This window comes from Homo sapiens, chromosome 6, assembly GCF_000001405.40.
Source record: "Homo sapiens chromosome 6, GRCh38.p14 Primary Assembly".
NCBI classification, from domain to species: domain Eukaryota; kingdom Metazoa; phylum Chordata; class Mammalia; order Primates; family Hominidae; genus Homo; species Homo sapiens.
In genome coordinates, this window is record NC_000006.12 from 114,132,685 (window position 1) to 114,152,981 (window position 20,297).

The 20,297-nt window shown below is 41.0% G+C and overlaps 1 protein-coding gene and 2 long non-coding RNA genes across 13 annotated transcripts in view; 2 read left to right on the top strand and 1 right to left on the bottom strand.

The window, feature by feature from the left end:
* Positions 1 to 20,297, top strand: part of HDAC2-AS2 (HDAC2 and HS3ST5 antisense RNA 2) — a 371,029-nt gene that overhangs the window by 162,984 nt on the left and 187,748 nt on the right. The window lies entirely within an intron of this gene.
* The window catches only part of HS3ST5 (heparan sulfate-glucosamine 3-sulfotransferase 5), a 287,428-nt gene that overhangs the window by 77,089 nt on the left and 190,042 nt on the right, over positions 1 to 20,297 (bottom strand). For 2 of the 11 annotated variants that reach the window (NM_001387045.1, NM_001387047.1), the window contains exon 4: positions 15,096 to 15,190. The exons of the other annotated variants lie outside the window; for them this stretch is intronic. The gene's annotated coding sequence lies outside the window, so the exon portion shown is untranslated. The remainder of the gene's footprint in view (positions 1 to 15,095; positions 15,191 to 20,297) is intronic. 11 annotated transcript variants of the gene reach the window in all.
* Positions 10,264 to 11,336, top strand: LOC124901383 (uncharacterized). The gene is made up of 2 exons (XR_007059718.1): positions 10,264 to 10,337; positions 10,935 to 11,336. It is a non-coding gene; the product is annotated as an uncharacterized LOC124901383 (long non-coding RNA).

The window sequence follows — 20,297 nt, forward strand, 5'->3', positions numbered from 1 at the left end:
TACCATCTCTGTGAGTATTGAATAAGGTCTTCACCAAACAACGTGCATGTACCTACTGTGAACGAAGGCTGGGTTTTAGTAGGTCTGAAGGGGAGGCTAACGGCTGGACCTTGAGGCTCCTGTCCCATTCACCACCAGAAGCCCAGGCTCTTTCAAGCCGGTCTGAATTCAGAGGACTTGAGTTTTGACTTTCTTCCGGGAGATTTTCAGGGCTAATGTTAATGTGTCTTACACAACATTTTCATTGTTCTGTCCTCCTTGTTCTCTTATCCGCATTCTATTTTTGTCAACTTGATCCCCAACCAACCCTCTGATTTCATCTTTCCCCCACTCCAAACCCTTCCATGGTGCTTGCTGTGAGAAGATCTCATCCTCCTCTTACCCCCTATTTGTCACCTCCCTCTCCATTTCCTCTAGATCCTGCATCTAGATCTGCCCTTCCTGAATGATGTTCTTGCACAGATCTCATCATTCCCATCTTGTCTTCTGCCCATCAAGGGATGACAATGGGCCTGGTTCCTCACTGCCCTGTCCAGTTCTCCGTTTTCCTCCCTCAGAGTCAGCTTCTTTGAACTTCCCAAAGACCTGAGCCTGCCTCCACGAAGTTCCAGGATTGGAGAGAACCTGAGAGTTTCTCTAGCCCATGACCCCACTGTTCCTCAGAGGACACCAATGGATAGGGAGGTGATGAGAATGGCTGCAGTAGATAGTCCTTGCTCCTCTGTAGTATCATGTGTTTGTGTGTGCACGTATATACACAGTTGCACTTTAGCTAGATTTGCATAGAGAATCTATACAGTGGTGGTGTTTTCCTTGTTTAACCCATGGAAATGATGCCAATGGTATAAATTTTAGGCTAAGAGGAGGGGACTAGATGTCTTAATATGCCACTGGGAAAGATATTTTAGAGCATTTATTCAGTCAGTCAGCATTTATTGAGTGCTTATTGTGTACCAGACATTGTTTTAAGCACCAAAAATATAAGAAAAATAATGCATTTTAAGATGCTCATTTGTAGTGGGGGCAAGAGCTACATGCACAGATAGAATATAATGTGGTAAATGCAGAGTTAGAAATATGTGCAGGACATTTCAGTAGCACAGAGGAGAGGATTCTGGTTGAGATAGGGTGCAGGGGCTTGTTCAGGACAGTTTCCAGGGAGGTGATTATAAGATGAATCTTGAGCATGCATAGGGGTCCATGCCTGGAAGGACAGAGAGAGGCCAGGCCAGGCAGAGGGAGCAAGACTGGGATGTGATAGACACCACAGAGTGTATGTGGGAGCATGAGAGAGAGAGAGAGACAGAAAGAGAGGGCGGCGGGGAGCGGTAGTGGGAGGCGGTGGCTGGAGAGAAAAAGGAGGAGGAGGAGGAGAGAGAAATTTAAAACAATTCAAGTTTGAGAGTACATTGAGTCAAGAAACTGGCAAGCCTTGTGTCTGGAGGGCAGGGTAAGGACTTGCATAAGCCAGGTTAAGACACACAACACTGACAGCAAATAGCAGCCTCCTACTGTGTGCCAGGCACTATGTGAGGGGCTCTGCACTTATGATATCATGGAGTCATCACAACCCCATGAGGAGCGTATGATTATTGCCATCTGGTTACAGGTGAAGAAAATGAGGTCAGGGGAGGTTAAATAATTTGCCCAAGGTTGCACTGCTGGCTTGGATCCAAGGTCTGACCCAAGGTTCTAACACTTAGCCATCTATTTTCCTCTCCTCTAAAGAACTGTCTGGTTGAAACCCCATTTTGGAGATACAGGAGTGGCAGAGAGGCTAAAGGGGGAGTCCTTCCCAGGTAGGCAGAATTTTTTGCATAGAGCTGCACAGGAAGCAGGACCTGCAGTGAGAAGAAGGCAGCTTTGATTCTAGCTCAGTTGTTCTCAGCCTAAGCCGCACGTGGAATTGTCAAGGAAATACCTGCTCGGGCCTTACCCCAGAGATTCCCATTTAATTAGGGATGGAGAATCAGTTTTTTAAAAGCTCCTCAGGTGATTCTAGTGTGCAACAAGGGCTGCTGGAAAGCATCATTCCTATCTAGCTCCTTCTATGCTGGGACTGCCAGGGCTGAGGGGAGATGCCTTAGCCCCTACCCTGTATGCATTCCTCTTTGACCCCAGCCTCTGTGAATTTCTCTCTTTTCCTCCAGTGTCCTGAAATTTTGTGTGCATTTCAGTGTGGAATCCTCTAAAGTGATCTTAAGCCCACGTTACTGCCACAGCTTCCAAGTCTGCCATCCATGCTTACCATGCGGGTGCCACGGCACAAGGGTTGCACAGGGTAAGGAGGCTCAGAAACACCAGGGGAGCAGGTGGAGAGAGACATGGGTGAACTTGGTGACGCTGGTTTTCTCTATAAATGACTTCTAGATTGGTGAACCAGGGTGGAAGGGGCATGAGACATACAGAGGCCTAAACTGGCAAATAGATAATGTGGAGAGGACACCATGAGCTCTTTCTTCAGAGCCACTGCAGATACCTGCAGGCTGCAGAGGTCCCACTGTTGACAGTTGCTCTTCCTATAGGTGGTTGCAAATGTTTCCTACACCCTGATCATTCCTTCCATAATTCACAGCACTATTGATTAGATTGTGACTGAGATACTGACCTGGGGGTAACTGATATATACGTTAAGTCAGGTGAGAAAACAGGGTTTTCTGGGGGCAGGGACTATGCCCAGAGACAGGAGGAAGAAGGGGTGATGACCTTAGCACTCCCCAGGCAGGGAAAAAACCAAGAGGTAGATGAGGATGTGAATGGCAAAAAGAAACAGCAGGGAGCTGTTGATGAAGTAATGAACACCAGTAACCCACAGAACCGGAGCTGGAACAGACAGGCGGGTGCCAGCACAGCTGACCTGTGTCTTGTTCTCACTCTGCTCCTGGCTCATCTGCTCACTCTGCATGTCACCATCCTCCCTCTCCACCCAGGGCACGGTTTCAAGATTTAGGTCAGATGTCATCTTTTTCTGTGATGTTTTCTCCTATTCCACAGTCAAGATTAATTTCTTCTTCCCGTGACGTTTATTTATTGCTGTTTCTTGCACATGCCAGGCATAGTGTTTATTCTGTCCTTGCTCTTTCAACTCTGCCTGGAAGGCTCTTCCCCAGCCACCCTAATGACTCACTCACCTCCTTCAGGTCTTTATTCAAATGCCACCTTCTCAGTGAGGACTCCTACTCCCCTGGGCTTTATCACTGGAGCCCAGGTTGCATCCCCCTTGTCTGCTTTGTTTTCCTCCATATCACTCATGGTCATTTCAACAATCCACATGTTAGAATCCCATACCAGGAAGGCAGAGATCCTTGTGTTCTGCTTTATGTCTAGCACTCAGAACACAGACGGACACACAGTGGGTGCTCAGTGCATACTGGTTGAATGAATGAATAAATCCTGCCTTGTGTTGTAATTGCAAGGGTAGCTGTCTAACTCATTAGATTACAAACCTCACAAAACAGGAATCAGGCTACATCCCCCTTTGATATGGTTTGGCTGTGTCCCCACCTAAATCTCATCTTGAATTGTAGCTTCAGTAAGTCCCACGTGTCATGGGACGGACCCAGTGGGAGTAATTAAATCATGGGGGCAGGTCTTTCCCATGCTGTTCTTGTGATAGTGAATAAGTCTCATGAGATCTAATGGTTTTATAAAGAGCAGTTCCCCTGCACACACTCTGTTGGCTGCTGCCATGTAGGATGTGACTTTGCTCTTCATTTGTCTTCAGCCATGATTGTGAGGCCTCCCCAGCCATGTGGAGCTGTGAGTCAATTAAACCTCTTTCCTTTATAAATTACCCAGTCTCGGATATATCTTTATTAGCAGCATGAGAACAGACTAATACACCCTGTATCTCTCATAGCACCTTAGAAGTTAACATGTTTTTGTTGTATTGAAGTGAATTGGGCATTAACTTGAAATCCTTCAGTCTCCCCCGAAGGGCCAGTTTGTCTGTTTGACTGTTGGCTACTTTAATGTGCTGCTCTTATTTTATATTTTTGGCATAGACTCACTTCAGAATACTATTCAAGGAACTTATGCCAATTCAAAAGCCTTGTTTTGTTCAAGTGGAGGCTGTTGTGGAATATTCATTCATTTGCATATTCCCAATACTTTAAATCATTCTAGACATTTTCATGGAGTAAGGCATTGGGACATTTTTCACTGGGCTCTACATTTTTCTGACCTCCTTTTGGCTCTTTTAATTATAATTGTTACAAAAACAATATTTACAGAGTGCCAAAAGTCCTGGTGTTTTTATGAAAAATTACTTTTGGAGAGAATATCATTTTTTGATATTTTGCCCTCCCAATCTGATTCATTCAGAGAATATAATGAATTCTGCTGAAGAACTATTGCCAATGTGTTTTTTTCCTAAATGGATATGTGGATATGACAATATAATGTATCATAGCAATCTTGTTTCGATGACTTTCTGGATAATGGCAGTATCCAAAGTGGAAACCTGAGAATTATCTCTTCTTGAATAGGTTATCAGGAAAAGATTTTTCTCCCTTAATGAGACCAATTCCAATTTCTTCTCCCCCCCGCAAACCATATCCCATTTATAGTTTCAAAGTACAAAAGTAACAGTATGCTGGCTTTAACACTTGGATACTAGAAAGCATAATTCTCCTTGCATATGAGAAAGCCACTTAATTTTGTCAAGGTGGTAAGAGAAATACACACCTATAGACATCACAGGGATGTAAGATCTTCTGTAGTCTCAGGTGAAAAATATTTAGTATATCATTGCTTGGGTGCCAAGAACTGGGTTTTGAACTTGGTGTTGCTCCTGAAATATCTGCTAAATTGAAATAGTTAATATTAAGTTGGCCAAACAAAAGAATGAAACACAAAACAGTGGCAGAAAATAAGAGGACCTTTTTCAGGTGTCCATTCAAAAGTTGTCAAGTTGTGTCTCTCCTGAAGTCTCAGTGGACTCTTGAGGAAAGGAAATGCGATTTCTTATGTGGATAGGTCCCACTGTGCCAAGTGCTAACAAGGCAGGGATTCATGGCAAGTCACTGCTCCTCCACTGAGCTCCCCTTCTTTGCCTGCCTTTCCTATCCATTCATTTATTCCTACTTCATCTCTTCCACTCTTCCCATTTCCTGCTTCTGATGTCTCCTCTGGCATCCAACGCTGTGCCTTGTTGGTGGCACTGATGACTAATTGGTGGCACTGATTGTTAGGTCTTTGAAATTAAAGGAGTTTTCAGACTTCTTCAATATCCCCAAATAGATCCACTTATAAGTATAATAAAAAGAGCTACCACTTATTAAATCCCTGTTATGAGCTAGGTACTCTAAATACTTAATCCTAATCTTAAAAATAGCACTAGCATTTTATAGATTAAAAAAAAAAGGAGGCTCTGAGAGTTGGGTACCTTGTCTGAAGTCACATTGGTCAGATGGAGAAGTAGTAGTAATTAAATTAGCACCCATTTCTGATTCCTTAGTCCATTATATGTCCAAATTTACATTCATTCATTGAACAAGTACTTATTGAACATCTATATGCCATGATAGTTCTAGGTGCTGGGAAAAGGACAGTCACTGATCTCATAAAGTGATGGATATTGCCTTCATCTGTTGACTTGAAAAAATCATTATCTTCACAAAACGGCTTTTGGATTAATTTTGTTCTCTAAAAAAGATGTCTACTATGGTACTAGCATAATTAAAAGCAAAATATATTTGGGTTAGTAAGATTTTTCCTGTTATTACTGTTAGAGCAGTTGCTACTTAAATGATGGAATGGTGGAAATGTGGGCAAAAGGTCTTGATGTCTGAAGAGGCCACATAAAAACAGAACCCAGCGTTAGGAGAAGCTGAGTTGGAATGAGCAGGTAACCATGCAGGAATATCTTATATATACACTTTAGTTTCCTTCCTAGCATCTCTCGGAATGGCTGAAAATATGACACTTGACAGTCCTTTGTACCGGACCCATCTACGTGGCTCCCCTGGTAAAAAATCCTGAGTTGTAATTTATGGCAAACATTTCTTCAAGCTCCTGCTCTTGGAATGGAATACATGAATGTGAATTCCACCAAAGATAGTAATGGTGAGTTGTCTTAGTCCCTGCAAGCTGCTATAACAAAATAATGTGGACTGGGTAGCTTATAAACAACAGAAATGTATTTCTTAGTTTTGGAGGCTTGGTAGATTCAGTGTCTGGTGAGCGCTTGCTTCCTAGTTCACAGAAGGCATCTTCTTGCTTCATCCTCACTTGGAAGGGGCAAGGGAGCTCTCCCAGATCTCTTTTTGTAAAGCTACAGATCCCATTCATTAGGGCTTCAGAATGCCCCACCCCCTAATGTCCTCACCTTGGAGTTAGGATTTCAACATAAAAATGCTGAAGGGACAAAAATATTCAATCTATAGCAGGAGTGCACTTTGCCAACAGCAGCACCATTCAGTCCCACAGGAATATCTTTGCCCTGTTGCCTTGATCTTCTCCCCACTCTCCTTTCAGATGTGCTTATATTGTTCTCACTGCAGTGACTGAAGGAGTGTTTGGTTTCCAGCTAACCCTGATCTTTGGTGTTGAACAGTCAGGCCATCTGGGATGATTAACATCATAGCCTAATGGTGGCCACTCTTGGGCTACTGTGGTTGAAGAGATTGAAGTAGGTGGGAAGAGCGGTTGGAAAAGTCTGAAGAACTCAGAATTTTACACTCTCGCAAATGACATTAGGGACAAAAGTTCAAAAAAAAAAAAGATGAGGGAGGAGGCAGAGTGTGCGTTTGTTGATCACTTCATCCGGGTAATTCAGCATGAGTAGACCCATTTATCTGATTCTACTCTATATGAATAGCGCTGGAAACATAGGTATTCTCAGTAAACAGAAGTTGAACTTAATTGCTAAATTCAGAAGGAAGGAGACAACAAGATTCCTGTCTATCTATTTAAAGATTTATCCCCTATTACTTATTTAATACATGCTAGATTCCCAACTCTGTGCTAGGTTTTGCCTTGTAGAACTTGGACCTGTCATAGAATCTGCATCTAGCTCTCAACTACCATTTATGCATCATCTTCAACTTGTGGAGCAGTATGTGGCATGAACAAGAACATTGTTGGGAGTCAAGAGACCACCTGGGTTCTGGTCATACTGGCAGGAAATGGCAGTTACAAAATTAGAAGCCATATTTGATTTTAAAGTGCAAATATTTCCAAATACCTCATTTATTCACTCATTTAAGATGTTAATGCATCTACTAAATGCTAGATGTCGGGTATCAGACATGTAAACATTTCACCTTTCTGGCCCTTAGTCTTTGTTCTTTTCAATGAGGGAAATAGCTATTCCCTAGACTTTCCTGAGTGATGGATACAAACCACTGGCTACACTAGAGATGACTATCAGTAATGCACAGACATGGCATTAAATAACACTGAACTACCTGAGGAAAGAGTGATTTTCTTCTACTTCTTTTTCAATCCTTCTATTTATTCAAGGGGAAAAGTCTCAGTTTGATGCTACAGTATCTTTCACACCTCTTAAATAATGTCTAATCTATACTGGCTATCAATTTCAAAGAGTTTGGCAATATTAGACTAGAATTTCATAATGTTATTTTTGTACATTTTTATGGTTATCTTTAATTTATGAAAAGTGATACTGGCTTGCCATTTATAATAGTGATATAAATTTTTTTTAACATAAATGCATTTAAAAAGTGTTAAAAAGTTTATTTAAACGGTGTATTAAATAATTGTAAAAGTGGTTGGTAGATCTGGCCAAAATCACGAAGATGTTGTGTGACTGGCTGAAATTTGAGATGCATTACATGTTTGAGATGAATCAGAAGTTCTCTAAGGTCCACCCCTTCCTTGCTTGTTATAGTGTTCTAAGATCATTTGTATAATAAATAAAGGCTTAGAAAGCACTGGACCTTGCTGACTCTTTTCTACCCTCACCTTGGCTGTGAATCCAACACAGGGCATTAGTGTCATGTTCAGATCTGCTCCAACGGTACACAGAAGAGCACGCTGGGCAGAGGAGCACGAGGAATGCAGAGAGGGCTGCTCTGAGATTGAGCCACAAGGGAGAAACGTGACTGTTCTGTCAAAAATGGCTAGTTTGTTATTTTTCAAGTTGGAAGCAGTACAGGGCAGAGGCAAAGGCAAGATCTTGGAGCCTGGCAGTTCTTTGCATTTACTAGTTATGTAATTTTTTTTTAGCAAGTTATTTTATTTCTTTCTGCTTCAGTTTCCTCATCTGTAAATTGAAGAAATATACCCACAAGGTTGTTATAAGGATTAAATAAGATAGAGTGAGAAACAATGCCTGTAACAAATCAAGTACTCAATAAGTAGTAACTATTATTTTTATTCAGAGGGAAATAAAATGGCATTTTCCAAATGAGTGCATTATACATACTTTAAATATCAAGAGGACACCTCTGGCTACAGTGCCTCATTAAAATATACTTAACTTTACCACTGGAGACCTGTGTCTCTTCCTGCCCCTACAAATTCAGCAAATCTCCACTTACCCAGAAACCTGGGTTCATTCTAAATTGGATCCTTTTCTCTCCTTCACTCAACGATTGAAATGTAATCACAGCATTGCCATGGATGGCTAAAAACAGTCCAGTGTATTAACTGAAAACTTTTATCATGTAAATATGGATACTAAATTTGTTCTTCAGCATATCAGTATATCAGCAATGAAGAAGTCATTTTTCAGATCTCAAAATTCCATGTAATATTTATAGCTTCTGAATATATTTAAAGCTAAGCATACGAGGGGTAAGAAAAAGTTCCATAAGGGGAGAAAGAAATATGCTAAATGTGTGCAGTATATCTGTCTTATGAGGCTCAAGCATGCTTTATGTAGTGCTGAGAGTTTGTGAGTGAGAGCTAAGCTGCATTTCCCTGGTTGTTCTTTTTAACTATAAAGAAAGGTGATAAATTATAAATGTGCCTGAGTCACCCAAGTATGACAGTTTTAATTTTCATTTTAACAATATGTACAATACCAAATGCATGAAACTCAGTTGGAATGTGACAAGGCAGTAGGGGCTGTTTGGAAGGCGAGGCTGAGAAGGTGAGCGTGCCCTTCCTGCCCATTGGCTCCTGTCCTACAGACATGGGCTTGGGACTGCCAGTGTTCTCAGCATCTTGCCACTTTGTCAGCTTTCTGCTCTATCTAAGATGATAGTTTGTGTGTGTGTGTGTGTGTGTGTGTGTGTGTGTGTGTGTGTGTGTGTATTTTGCATACAAGCCTGCCATGCGAATGGCTCTCAGATCCTTATCTATTTGAATAAAACAAATGCTTCCCTGCTTCATGTTCCATCTCATTTTTTTTTCCTCATTTCCTACAGCTGGTTGTTTGTAATATTCATGATATTTCTTGGTTTCCAGTTTGTCTCTCTTCTCTCTCTCACAAAATAATGCCCTGCCTTTAAATTTTTCCATTTGTGTACTGTCTCCTTTATCATCCCTATTTCTTAAGCTTTCCTGCTTGGAGCATCACTGTCTGATTATTTCAAGGATAACAACTTCCCATCTCTGTATAGAATTCTTTAGACAGGGATATGAGGAGCATGCATTTATAGGAGCTGTGCAATTGTAATGAACGTTTAAAACATGGAAAAAGTCCTGGGTCAAATAAGGTTTACAGTTTGGGATTGGTAAACCAATGAAAGGAACGAGTAAAATAAAGTAACATCAGAAAGTGATGTCAACAATCTTCCTTTTCATTTTAACCTGTTCCATGTGGAAGCTCTGAATACGGTCACGTGGCAGGCTCACGAGTGAGTCATGGGAGGTAAGCGTGGCTGGGAGAAAGGAGGGAGCAGTTACTGCGAGGGTGGGTGAGGATAACACAAGCCTTGTGAGCCAGACAGAATTTAAATGTGATAATCTTTGCAAAATGTTTGTAAAGATGAATAATTATATAATCAATAGATATAATCATCTTTTTCCTCTTACAGGTAAATGCCATTTACAGAAAGCATTCTGCATAATAAAACGATTTCAAAGTCTCATAAGAGAAGCTAACATAACTTCCCTTAATCAATCTAGTCTTCATGAGCTCTACACAAATAGTCCCATACCAAGGTTTTCCTGTATGTCTATCCATTTATAGGGGATAGGGAAGCTTAAGGGAGGAGTGCTGTGAAGAATGTTGTCATTTCTTCTGGACTGCTACTAAGTAAAAGTTATCTTCTCACCTCACTCACCAATTCCTGCCTTAGTACCACAGCAATTATCTTTGCCTAAACACATTAACGGGGAAAAATGTTCAGGCTTTTGGAGAAGAGCTACAAGTGGTGGACGGTGGCCACAGTGAAGAGTGGGGTAACTTAGACTAAACACTATAGGTAAGTTTATCACGCTCTCTCTTTTCCCTTTACTGACTCCAAAGTACTTGTCACTCATTAAATCTGCCTTATCGTCAGTTCTTTCAAACAGGAAGCATAATTTCAGTGGTTGCTTTTCACTGGACATGTGGCCTTGGGCAAATTACTTAACTGTTCTATGCCTTGGTTTTCTCATCTTGGAAGATGTAATATTGGAAGAATAATAATATCTACTTCATGAGACTGTTGTAAAGGTTAAATGAGTTAATATCCATAAAGTATGAGAATAATGCCTGGCACATAATAAGTACTGCAAAATGTCTAGCATAATAATGATTATCATTGTTAATAACACATATGTCGTGTTCAGTGGGAGATCACTATATATAACCATTGTCTAATTCCTCTTCTGGATTTGTGTTCTTTTTAGGAAGTTGTGCATGTCCATTGCAGAATAGGAGGTGATTAGATATGTAGTATCATTACTATTCCAATACTAGCATTTGGGGTGTGAAAGTTGTAAGATTCAAAATAGAGTCACTTGTGTCAAACCCGGGCAAATGGCGCCAAGGAGGATCATGAACGGAGGGATCTCACACATGATTTTCTTGATAACAGGAGCCATCAGAAGAAATTTTTCCAAACTGCAGCTTATTACATGGGTCACACAAGGACAGTTTGCAGCATAAGGACAGCTAGCTGCTTATACAAGAACATGTGCCTGACACAGTCTCACAAGCCCAGTCCAAAACTACAAGGGCCTAACTGTAACTCCAGGATTACAAGTCCTACCTAATAACTATTGACACTCGCCAGTCAGAACTCACCAGCTCTTTTGTTGCTGCCAGCACCAATAAGCTTTCTTCCAAAACCAACGCATAGCCTCCGCCTTTCCCAATAAACTCTAACCTTTTCCTTTATTCTGTGGACACTCCAGAGGCCAATCTGGTCTGTATATATGTCCCAGATTGCAGTCCTACTTCTTGTATATTATTCTCAAATAAAACAATTTTTACTTAAGAGACTCATCTCTATTTTTTATGTTGAGGTTTTAAGTGAGTGGGAAACCAGCAGGCAGTGTAAATGCAGTCCCAGAGTTCCCAGTGGCAACTGTGTTCACCACTCTACTCTGTAGCCTGAGCAGACTGTCACAGAACTGCCCCTGACCAGATTGATGAATATAGGAGAGCTGCTTTCCTGTGTTTTTAGGCTGAAAAACTTCACTCTGTTTTGGACTGTACAGAGACAAGCATGCAGCATTCCCAAACATTGGCAGACTTCTCATCACCTTTGGATGACCTATGACCGATACATTTAGCGAAGAGTTCACATTATTAACTGGATTTCCCACCAGTCATTGTTCAAAGATTGAAATTTCACAAATAAAATCAGAGCCCGATAAAGACATTTTTAGTTACATCACAAAGAAAGAAAACTCTTTCAGCTTTGGGACGGTCTTTGATAAGTTGCATAATGGTCCCACACAGCCTAAAATTAAACTCTCCAAAAGTTCCTACCATATGACCAAACATGAGCATTTAATCTTGAAACTTCTATCCAGAAGTTAGTTCTCAAATAAATGCATCTACAGGACATAAGCAGAAACATGGAAACTGGAGGTAGCAGGTCCCAAAAATCCATAGATTGTTTTAAACATATTTTAACCCCTGCTGGACAGGAAAGGCAAAGCCATTGGCATTAGGTAGAACTGGGCACTAATCTTAGCTCTGACACTTACTAGCTAGGTCATCTGAACCATGTTACAGTTTCCTCATCTGTAAAAGGCTGAGTTGATACCTACTTCAAAGTACAGTTGTTAGAATTAAATGAGTAACGTTTGTATAGCTCCTGTGGCAGTGCCTGATATATAACAGCTATTCAGTAAACGTTTATGTCTGCCTAACTTGTTGCTCTGCTGTTAGTTGGGACCTGAACAGTGGGAGCCTTGGCCGGGTAGTGACATACCTGTGTCTGCAGAGCCTGGGCCATTCAAACATCTCAGCTGATGCTCACGGAAATTACTCTCACTTGTGCTCCAACTTCACTCCAGTTCCTCCACTCTCTGTTGATTTTTGCTGCTGACCTGACCCTTACTTCTTGGCATTTGAACCTGACTTCATACCCTGTATACCAACTAGGTTCTGGTATTCTGTCCACATTCCTACAAGCCCCGGAGGCAGGGCTTAGCTTTGTACTTCTAGGTTGGTCCTGATAGCACATTCCAGTCCTATCTCACACAGCTCAAAGACTGCCTTGCTAAAACAAAACAAAAAACAAAACACCTCACACTGAAATTTCATCATCTCTCCAGGAATAGAGTTTCTTTATTGTGAAAGATTCTTTCTCAAAATGGTTTAGTGTGCTTCGAGTTTCATCTCAGGTATTATTTGCAGTGGTCCCAGCAGTAAGCCTGGCTTATCTGAGCCCTGGTTTATGGCAAGCCTGAAATGAAATGAGAATGTCGGGTTTGGGAGAGACAGGTCCCCAAACCAGAGGAATGACAGGAATGTTCACATGGGGACACAAAGCCTGCCTGATTAGAAGGAGGGAGTCTGGAGAGAGTGGCCAGGGTAGTTTACATGGGCAGAAAATGACAGATGTCAAAACCATAAAGGTTCAATGAGAGTGGCCAGGTACGTGGAGCAGGCAGGGTCAAGGACACCAAAGCAAACAAAGACAGCAGATGCAGAAGTGAGAGTTGAGTCTTGAGCTGCTGCGAACTGCAGTGGGAGGCAGGGCTCGTGTGGGGGTGCTGTGGGAAGCAGGGGCCTTCCTCACTCATCAGGAACACAGCTGTCTGCCCCTAAGCCACAGCCCTCAGCTTTGGGAGGATAATTTCTCACAGCAGTGCTGTATCTATCATAGCTGAATTTAAAGAATTTGTGGTAAGTGATCTTAATTGAACTGATACCCTTGAGATGTCGCATCACCTTTAAACCAATGGACATCTGAAAGGAAAGTACATTTTCCTAATGTTGTGATGGAATGGATTGCTACTGGAGACTGGCTAACTAAATGGGTCCAAACTCTCATAATTTTCAATAGAAAAAAATAGTCTGATTTAGAAATAAAATCACCTTTAGCATTTCTACTAAAATTAAAAAAAATTACAGAGTCCAGTTGCTTCTAGATATGTCTCTTCTCTGTAAACCACAGTTCTACAAGAAGCAATCTTTGAGAGTAGAGAGCTTTATCCTAACGGCCAACCATAAAGACAGCTAAATAGAATATTTGAAATAGAAATCTGCGAGCACTGTGAAAGAGTACTTTTTGTTTTTTAAAGGTAGTCAACTTTGTTCCTCCCTTACAGAAGATACAGTTGGCTGACCTAAATTGACTAAGTTCTGAGAGAATCATATCGTTAAAGAAAGTAGAAGTCTGGCCCATAAAGTCCTGTGATTGTTCAATCCCTAAACGAGGTCCCCAAAGGAGTGTTTCTCTCTGTCTCACCTCACATGTGGCTAAGGAGAATATGGGCAAGGAAGAACCTCCAGAGAGGAAAGTTAGAAGCCATGGAGGCCAATGGCCAAGAATGTCCACCAGGGTCTAAGCAGAGGGCATCAACCCCTAGAAGGGCAGGGAGGCTGTTCCTAAGTGATACGGTTTGTATATTCACTCCTGCCCAAATCTCATGTTGAACTGAAATTCCCAACAGTGGAAGTGGGGACTGGTGGGATATGTTTGCATCATGGGGGTGGATCCCTCATGGCTTGGTGCGTCTTTGCAATATTTGATGAGGTCTCATGTGATTTGGTCATTTAAAAGTGTATGGCACCTTCCCCCATTCCCTCACTCCTGCTTCTGCCATGTGATATTCCTGCTCCCGCTTTACCCTCTGCCATGAGTAACAGCTCCGAGGCCTCCTGGGAAGCTGCCATGCTTGTGCCTGCAGAACTATGAGCCATTAAACCTCTTTTCTTTATAAATTACCCAGTTGCAGGTATTTCTTTATGGCATGCAAGAACAGCTGAATACACTGAGCAGCAGGCTTTCATCACTGGTATGGATCAGGGACTACTATGTGTTTCCCTTTCTTTCTTTTCTGAATGGGAGATTATACTGCATTATCCTATTACTACACTAACACTATATAGGGGGACTCTGTGGGCAAAGTCAAGAATCTTAACTGTTTACACATTACCAGCACAAAAGAGCTATCTCAGCTCTTGTTGGAAAAGCCAGCACATGACTTTGTGCTGGATGCAAAGACTGAGTGGGATTTTGAAAACACATAGTTATTTGGCTATTTGGGGTACGAACTCAGATGAGGATGCCACAGACTATTTTCCAGCCTCCCTTGCAGCTAAATGTGGCCATGTGACTGAATTCTCACTGATAGAACGTGAGCTGAAGTGATGTGTGCAACTTCCACATCACTTAAGAGGGTTGTTTGCCCTTCATTTCTGCTCCTCCATGCATAGGGACACTGGCATGGCAGTGACCTCACTTCAACCATGAAGATGAAGTTGATTGAAACACAGAAGAATAGGGTCTTGGAATAACCTAGTGCAGCAGAACCAACCTACCAATCTGGACTACTCATTCTGAATTGTTAGGTCATGAGAAATAAACTTCCTTTTTTGAGGGGTGGCGGAGATGTTTTGGAGTCTCGCTCTGTCACCCAGGCTGGAGTACAGTGGCACAATCTCAGCTCACTGCAACCTCTGCCTCCTAGGCTCAAGTGATCCTCCTGCCTCAGCCTCCCGAGTAGCTGGGACTACAAGCAGGCACCACCACACTTCGCTAATTTTTGTATTTTTAGTAGAGACAGGGTTTTACCATGTTGGCCAGGCTGGTCTTGAACTCCTGACCTCAAGTGATTCTCCCACCTTGGCCTCCCAAAGTGCTGGGATTACAGCCATGAGCCACCGCACCTGGCAGAGAAATAAACTTCTCTTAGAGGTAAGCTTCTGTCACTTTTGATCTCTGTTGCAGCATATATATCCTCCTTCATCCGAATGCATAAAATTATAATTTCAGAATGATTTGATATAAGAAAATCATTACTTCTAGAATAATTTGAATTGGAAATTTCATTTCTAGGTACCATAAGATCATTTTTCTAGACATTATAAATTCTTAGGTCTGCAGCCAATGGAACAGAACAGAGACCTCAGAAATAACACCACACATCTACAACCATCTGATCTTTGACAAACCTGACAAAAACAAGCAATGGGAAAAGAATTCCCTATTTAATAAATGGTACTGGGAAAACTGGCTAGCCATATGCAGAAAAGTGAAACTGGACCCCTTCCTTACACCTTATACAAAAATTAACTCAACATGGATTAAAGACTTAATGTAAAACCCCAAACCATAAAAACCCTAGAAGAGGCCAGGCACAGTGGCTTATGCCTGTAATCCCAGCACTTTGGGAAGCCAAGGCGGGTGGATCACCTGAGGTCAGGAGTTCGAGACCAGCCTGGCCAACATGGTGAAACCCTGTCTCTATTAAAAATACAAAAAAATTAACTGGGTGTGGTGGCGGACACCTGTAATCCCAGCTACTCAGGAGGCTGGGGCAGGAGAATCGCTTGAACCCAGGAGGTGGAGGTTGCAGAGAGCCAAGATCGCGCCACTGTACTCCATCCTGGGCAATGAGAGTGAAACTCTGTCTCAAAAAATAAATAATAAAACCCTAGAAGAAAACGTAGGCAATACCATTCAGGACATAGGGATGCCGACTTCATGACTAAAACACCAAAAGCAATTGAAACAAAAGCCATAATTGACAAATAAGATCTAATTAAACTAAAGAGCTTCTGCATGGCAAAAGAAACTAGCATTAGAGTGAAAAGGCAACCTATAGAATGGGAGAAAATTTTTGCAATCTACCCATCTGACAGTCGTAATATCCAGAATCTACAAGGAACTTAAAAAATTTACAAGAAAAACAACCCCATCAAAAAGTGGGCAAAGGATATGAACAGACATTTCTCAAAAGAAGACATTTATGTGGCAAACAAACATGAAAGAAAGCTCATCATCACTGATCATTAGAGAAATGCAAATCAAAACCACAGTGAGATACCATCTCACACCAGTTAAAATGGTGATTATTAAAAAGTCAGGAAACAACAGATGCTGGTGAGGCTGTGGAGAAATAGAAACATTTTTACACTGTTGGTGGGAGTGTAAATTAGTTCAACCATTGTGGAAGACAGTGTGGCGATTCCTCAAGGATCTAGAACCAGAAATACCATTTGACTCAGCAATCCCATTACTGGGTATATACCCAAAGGGTTACAAATCATTCTACTATAAAGACACATGCACACACATGTTTATTGAAGCACTATTTACAATAGCAAAGACTTGAAACCAACCCAAATGCCCATCAATGATAGACTGGATAAAGAAAATGTGGCAAATGTACACCATGGAATACTATGCAGCCATAAAAAAGGATGAGTTCATGTCCTTTGCAGGGACATGGATGAAGCTGGAAGCCATCATTTTCAGCAAACTAACACAGGAACAGAAAACCAAACACCACATGTTCTCACTCATAAGTGGGAGTTGAACAATGAGAACACATAGACACAGGGAGGGGAACATCACACACTGGGGCCTGTTGGCAGGTGGGGGGCAGGGGAGGGAGAGCATTAGGACAAATACCTAATGCATGTGGGGCTTAAAACTTAGATGGTGGGTTGATAGGTGCAGCAAACCACCATGGCACATGTAACAAGCCTGCACATTCTGCACATGTGTCCTGGAACTTCAAGTAAAATTTTAAAAATTAAAAAAAAATTTCTTAGGTCAGCACAAATTTTAAATCTGAGGTATATCACCACTTTGATATTACATGGAAAAAAGTGTAATACACATATACAAAAGTTTAGTTTTTATCAACTATTCAAAAGTAGTCCTGAATGATTTAAAATACTGTCCAAAATTGTGGTAATTCTGCATCCTGTCATATCAAGAAGAGACAGGCTTAAAAGAGTTTCCCTTTGTTGGTTAGATTAACATTTAGCCAAAAGATAAGTGAGGCTATTCATGTTAGGAGGATGCTCTGGTACTTTTGGCTAGTGTTAATTTTAAATACAAGAATTTGTATTCTATAGGGAGTAGGAAATGACTATGTTTTTCTTGATGACCATTAAATATTCTTACTGAAAACTAGTCTTCTGCTCAATATTGTCACATAAATGGTTTTAATTTAAGAATACTTTCAATACAATTAATGGCTTTGGATGTCCTGTTAAGTTTGTTTTTAATCTGTACTGTTATTTGTGCACACTGTGGTATTCACACAGATCTAGATGTCACATAGCCTACGTTCACACAACCGCTAATATAAAAAACACCATTGAGCTCTATTAAGTTCCAGTGGCACACAGTGCCAAAGGATTGTTGTTCAATGTTTGACTTATTAAAGTTTCCTAAGACAGGCAATCTCATAAGCAAACGTATAGAGGCCCAGCTGCCCTTTTGACTAAATACATCAAAATAAGTATTTACTTCATATATGAGAAATAGTACAAGTGCCCTTTACAGAGAAGAGAATCTGGGGAAAGCTGCTTCAATTAGACCTTTATATGAAGGACTGGAGGTGAAAGCCCTATGTCATTTTCATTCAAGAGAGGTTTTATGAAGAATATGGGGTTTCACAAGCTGTCTGGGTGTGATGGGAGAAGGAAAGGAGGATTTGCATTCTATAGCATACATGCAATATTTTTTAAAAAAGATTCAGAGAAGGAGTTAATGCCTGAGTGTAGGAGATGTATTCAGCAATTATAATAAAATCCTGAAAGAAAGCCTTATCATTTGTACTCATATTTATTTATTCACTGCAAGCATGAAAAGAAACCCCAGAAGGAATCGTCAAATTGTCTTATGTGAATTACATTGGAAAACGTGTGTTTTGGACATTTTCAAAGCTCAAACTATTTTGCTTGTTCTTGAAAGTGGGAATTCTAGTGCAACTAGAAAGATAAACATCCTTAATATCCTTTCACCTTGCATTTTTACTGCTTTTTTTAAAGCATGAATAAAAAACCAGAAAGCACATATTCGCTTGCCCCTGTACATTTTAAATGACTGTTTTACAAGTCATTCAAAAGATGGCTGACTCTGATAGAATGAAGCACTCAAAAATGTTGATGCTGAGGCAAAGGAATGACCCATGCCTTACAAATTAATCATGTTGAGTTAGGATTTTTTGGTATTGTTTATTTGTCCCAGCATTATCTGACCCACAAAATAGCTATCCGACACCACGTAATAAAAATCCTTTTTTATAATGGGGTTCTACTTAGAGATCAAATGTCAGTGTTCTTTGATCTTTGTTGCTAAGATGTTCTCATTATATGGAACAGAATTCAGCAGGTGTTTGATTATTTATCCAGCAAAGGGGAAGGTGAGCTGGGATTAAATTGTTATGGCATAGCTTTGTTTTAGGCCCGCTGACTCTTGCTGAATTTGGAATAATTGTGTTGCTGCATAGCAATCTTGCTAAGTACAATAGGACACTGAAAAGCTTGGCTCAGAAACTAATGGTCTGCAGCTACCATCTGTGGGATTGAAACTAAATGCCTCTAAAAGAAATACTCATAAATGTAACTAGCCATCTTGTTGATTAGCTTTCTGGTAAATGGGATTCCAGTTGCCTAAATGAACCAGTGCAACCTCTCTCTGGAAGCCAATAGATGGACAACCACTTGCTTCTGAGTTAGCAGTTGCCCAATAAATTCCAATATATTTAAAGCTCCTTTGAAAGAAGACACTCCCAAATTATGTAAAATGTAGAAAATTATATCAACACTTCACAAGCTATAAATTAAAATAGAAAAATATAAATTCCTGTGCCAGTGTTTTCAAGGTCATTATTTTTCAATTCAATACATTCAGCTATGCTCTTATTGCCTATTCTTTGTGGCTAGGTTAATTATATGGTGACAATTTCAAAATTATGTTTATTTTATTTTATTTTTTTTAATTTTTGAGACGGAGGGTCTGTCGCCTAGGCTGGAGTACGGTGGCGTGATCTCGGTTCACTGCAAACTCTGCCTCCCGGCTTCAAGCGATTCTTTTGCCTCAGCCTCCTGGGTAGCTGGGACTACAGGCGCGTGCCACCATGCCCGGCGAATTTTTTAGTAGAGACGGGGTTTCATCTTGTTAGCCAGGATGGTCTCGAACTCCTGACCTCGTGATCGACGCACTTCGGCCTCCCAAAGTGCTGGGATTAAAGCCATGAGCCACCGTGCCAGGCCATAAATTTATGTTTCTTATGCAAAATAAATTTCAGTTTCTATTCTCAATATTAGCATGCATTTTCTATTTTTAAAGAAAAAGAATTATTCCTTGCAAATTCACACTTCTTTGTTTCAGTGTACACATCTATGCTGCACATACCACTCTGATAATCCATTAACTGTTAACACTCCTACCTTCTTAACTTTTTACATTTTTCACTCCAGAAATTTAAGCTTTTGAGGATATCATTTCCTGCTGAAATCCAGTTAGAGGAGAAATTTTAGGTAATTAGAAATAATTCTGTTACTACCTGAGCTAAGCAGAAACTGGTTTTTATAAAGAAGGAGGAGTGTGAAAGCTCCCGGCAACTCTACAGATTTGCTTTTCTCATCTTTCTTCTCAGAATTTCATCTTACAGCTCAGGAAAGTCGAGGCTAAAGTGGATTTTGCTGAGAGTTTGTCAAGTTAGAGGGGCCAGCGCTGGCTCAGTTCTCCGCCTGGACACATTTTCTCTTCCTGTGGTCCAACCTCCCAGTGTAAGTGCGATCCCAAGTGGCCTGCCCCTTGAGCAGTCAGGCCCTGTCTCTACTGCGAGGGATGTAAAAGTTCAGCACCCATGAAGCCTTTGCTGCTAGAGGCTTTGGCCTGTGCTTTGAGCTGTGATTCCAAATCTTCCTTATCTTGAATGATTGGCTCCCAGTTTTGTTAACTGAATCTGCCTGGGGATCTGCCTAATAATTTTCATGCTCTTTATTTTGCTTTGGGCTAGTCCTAGTC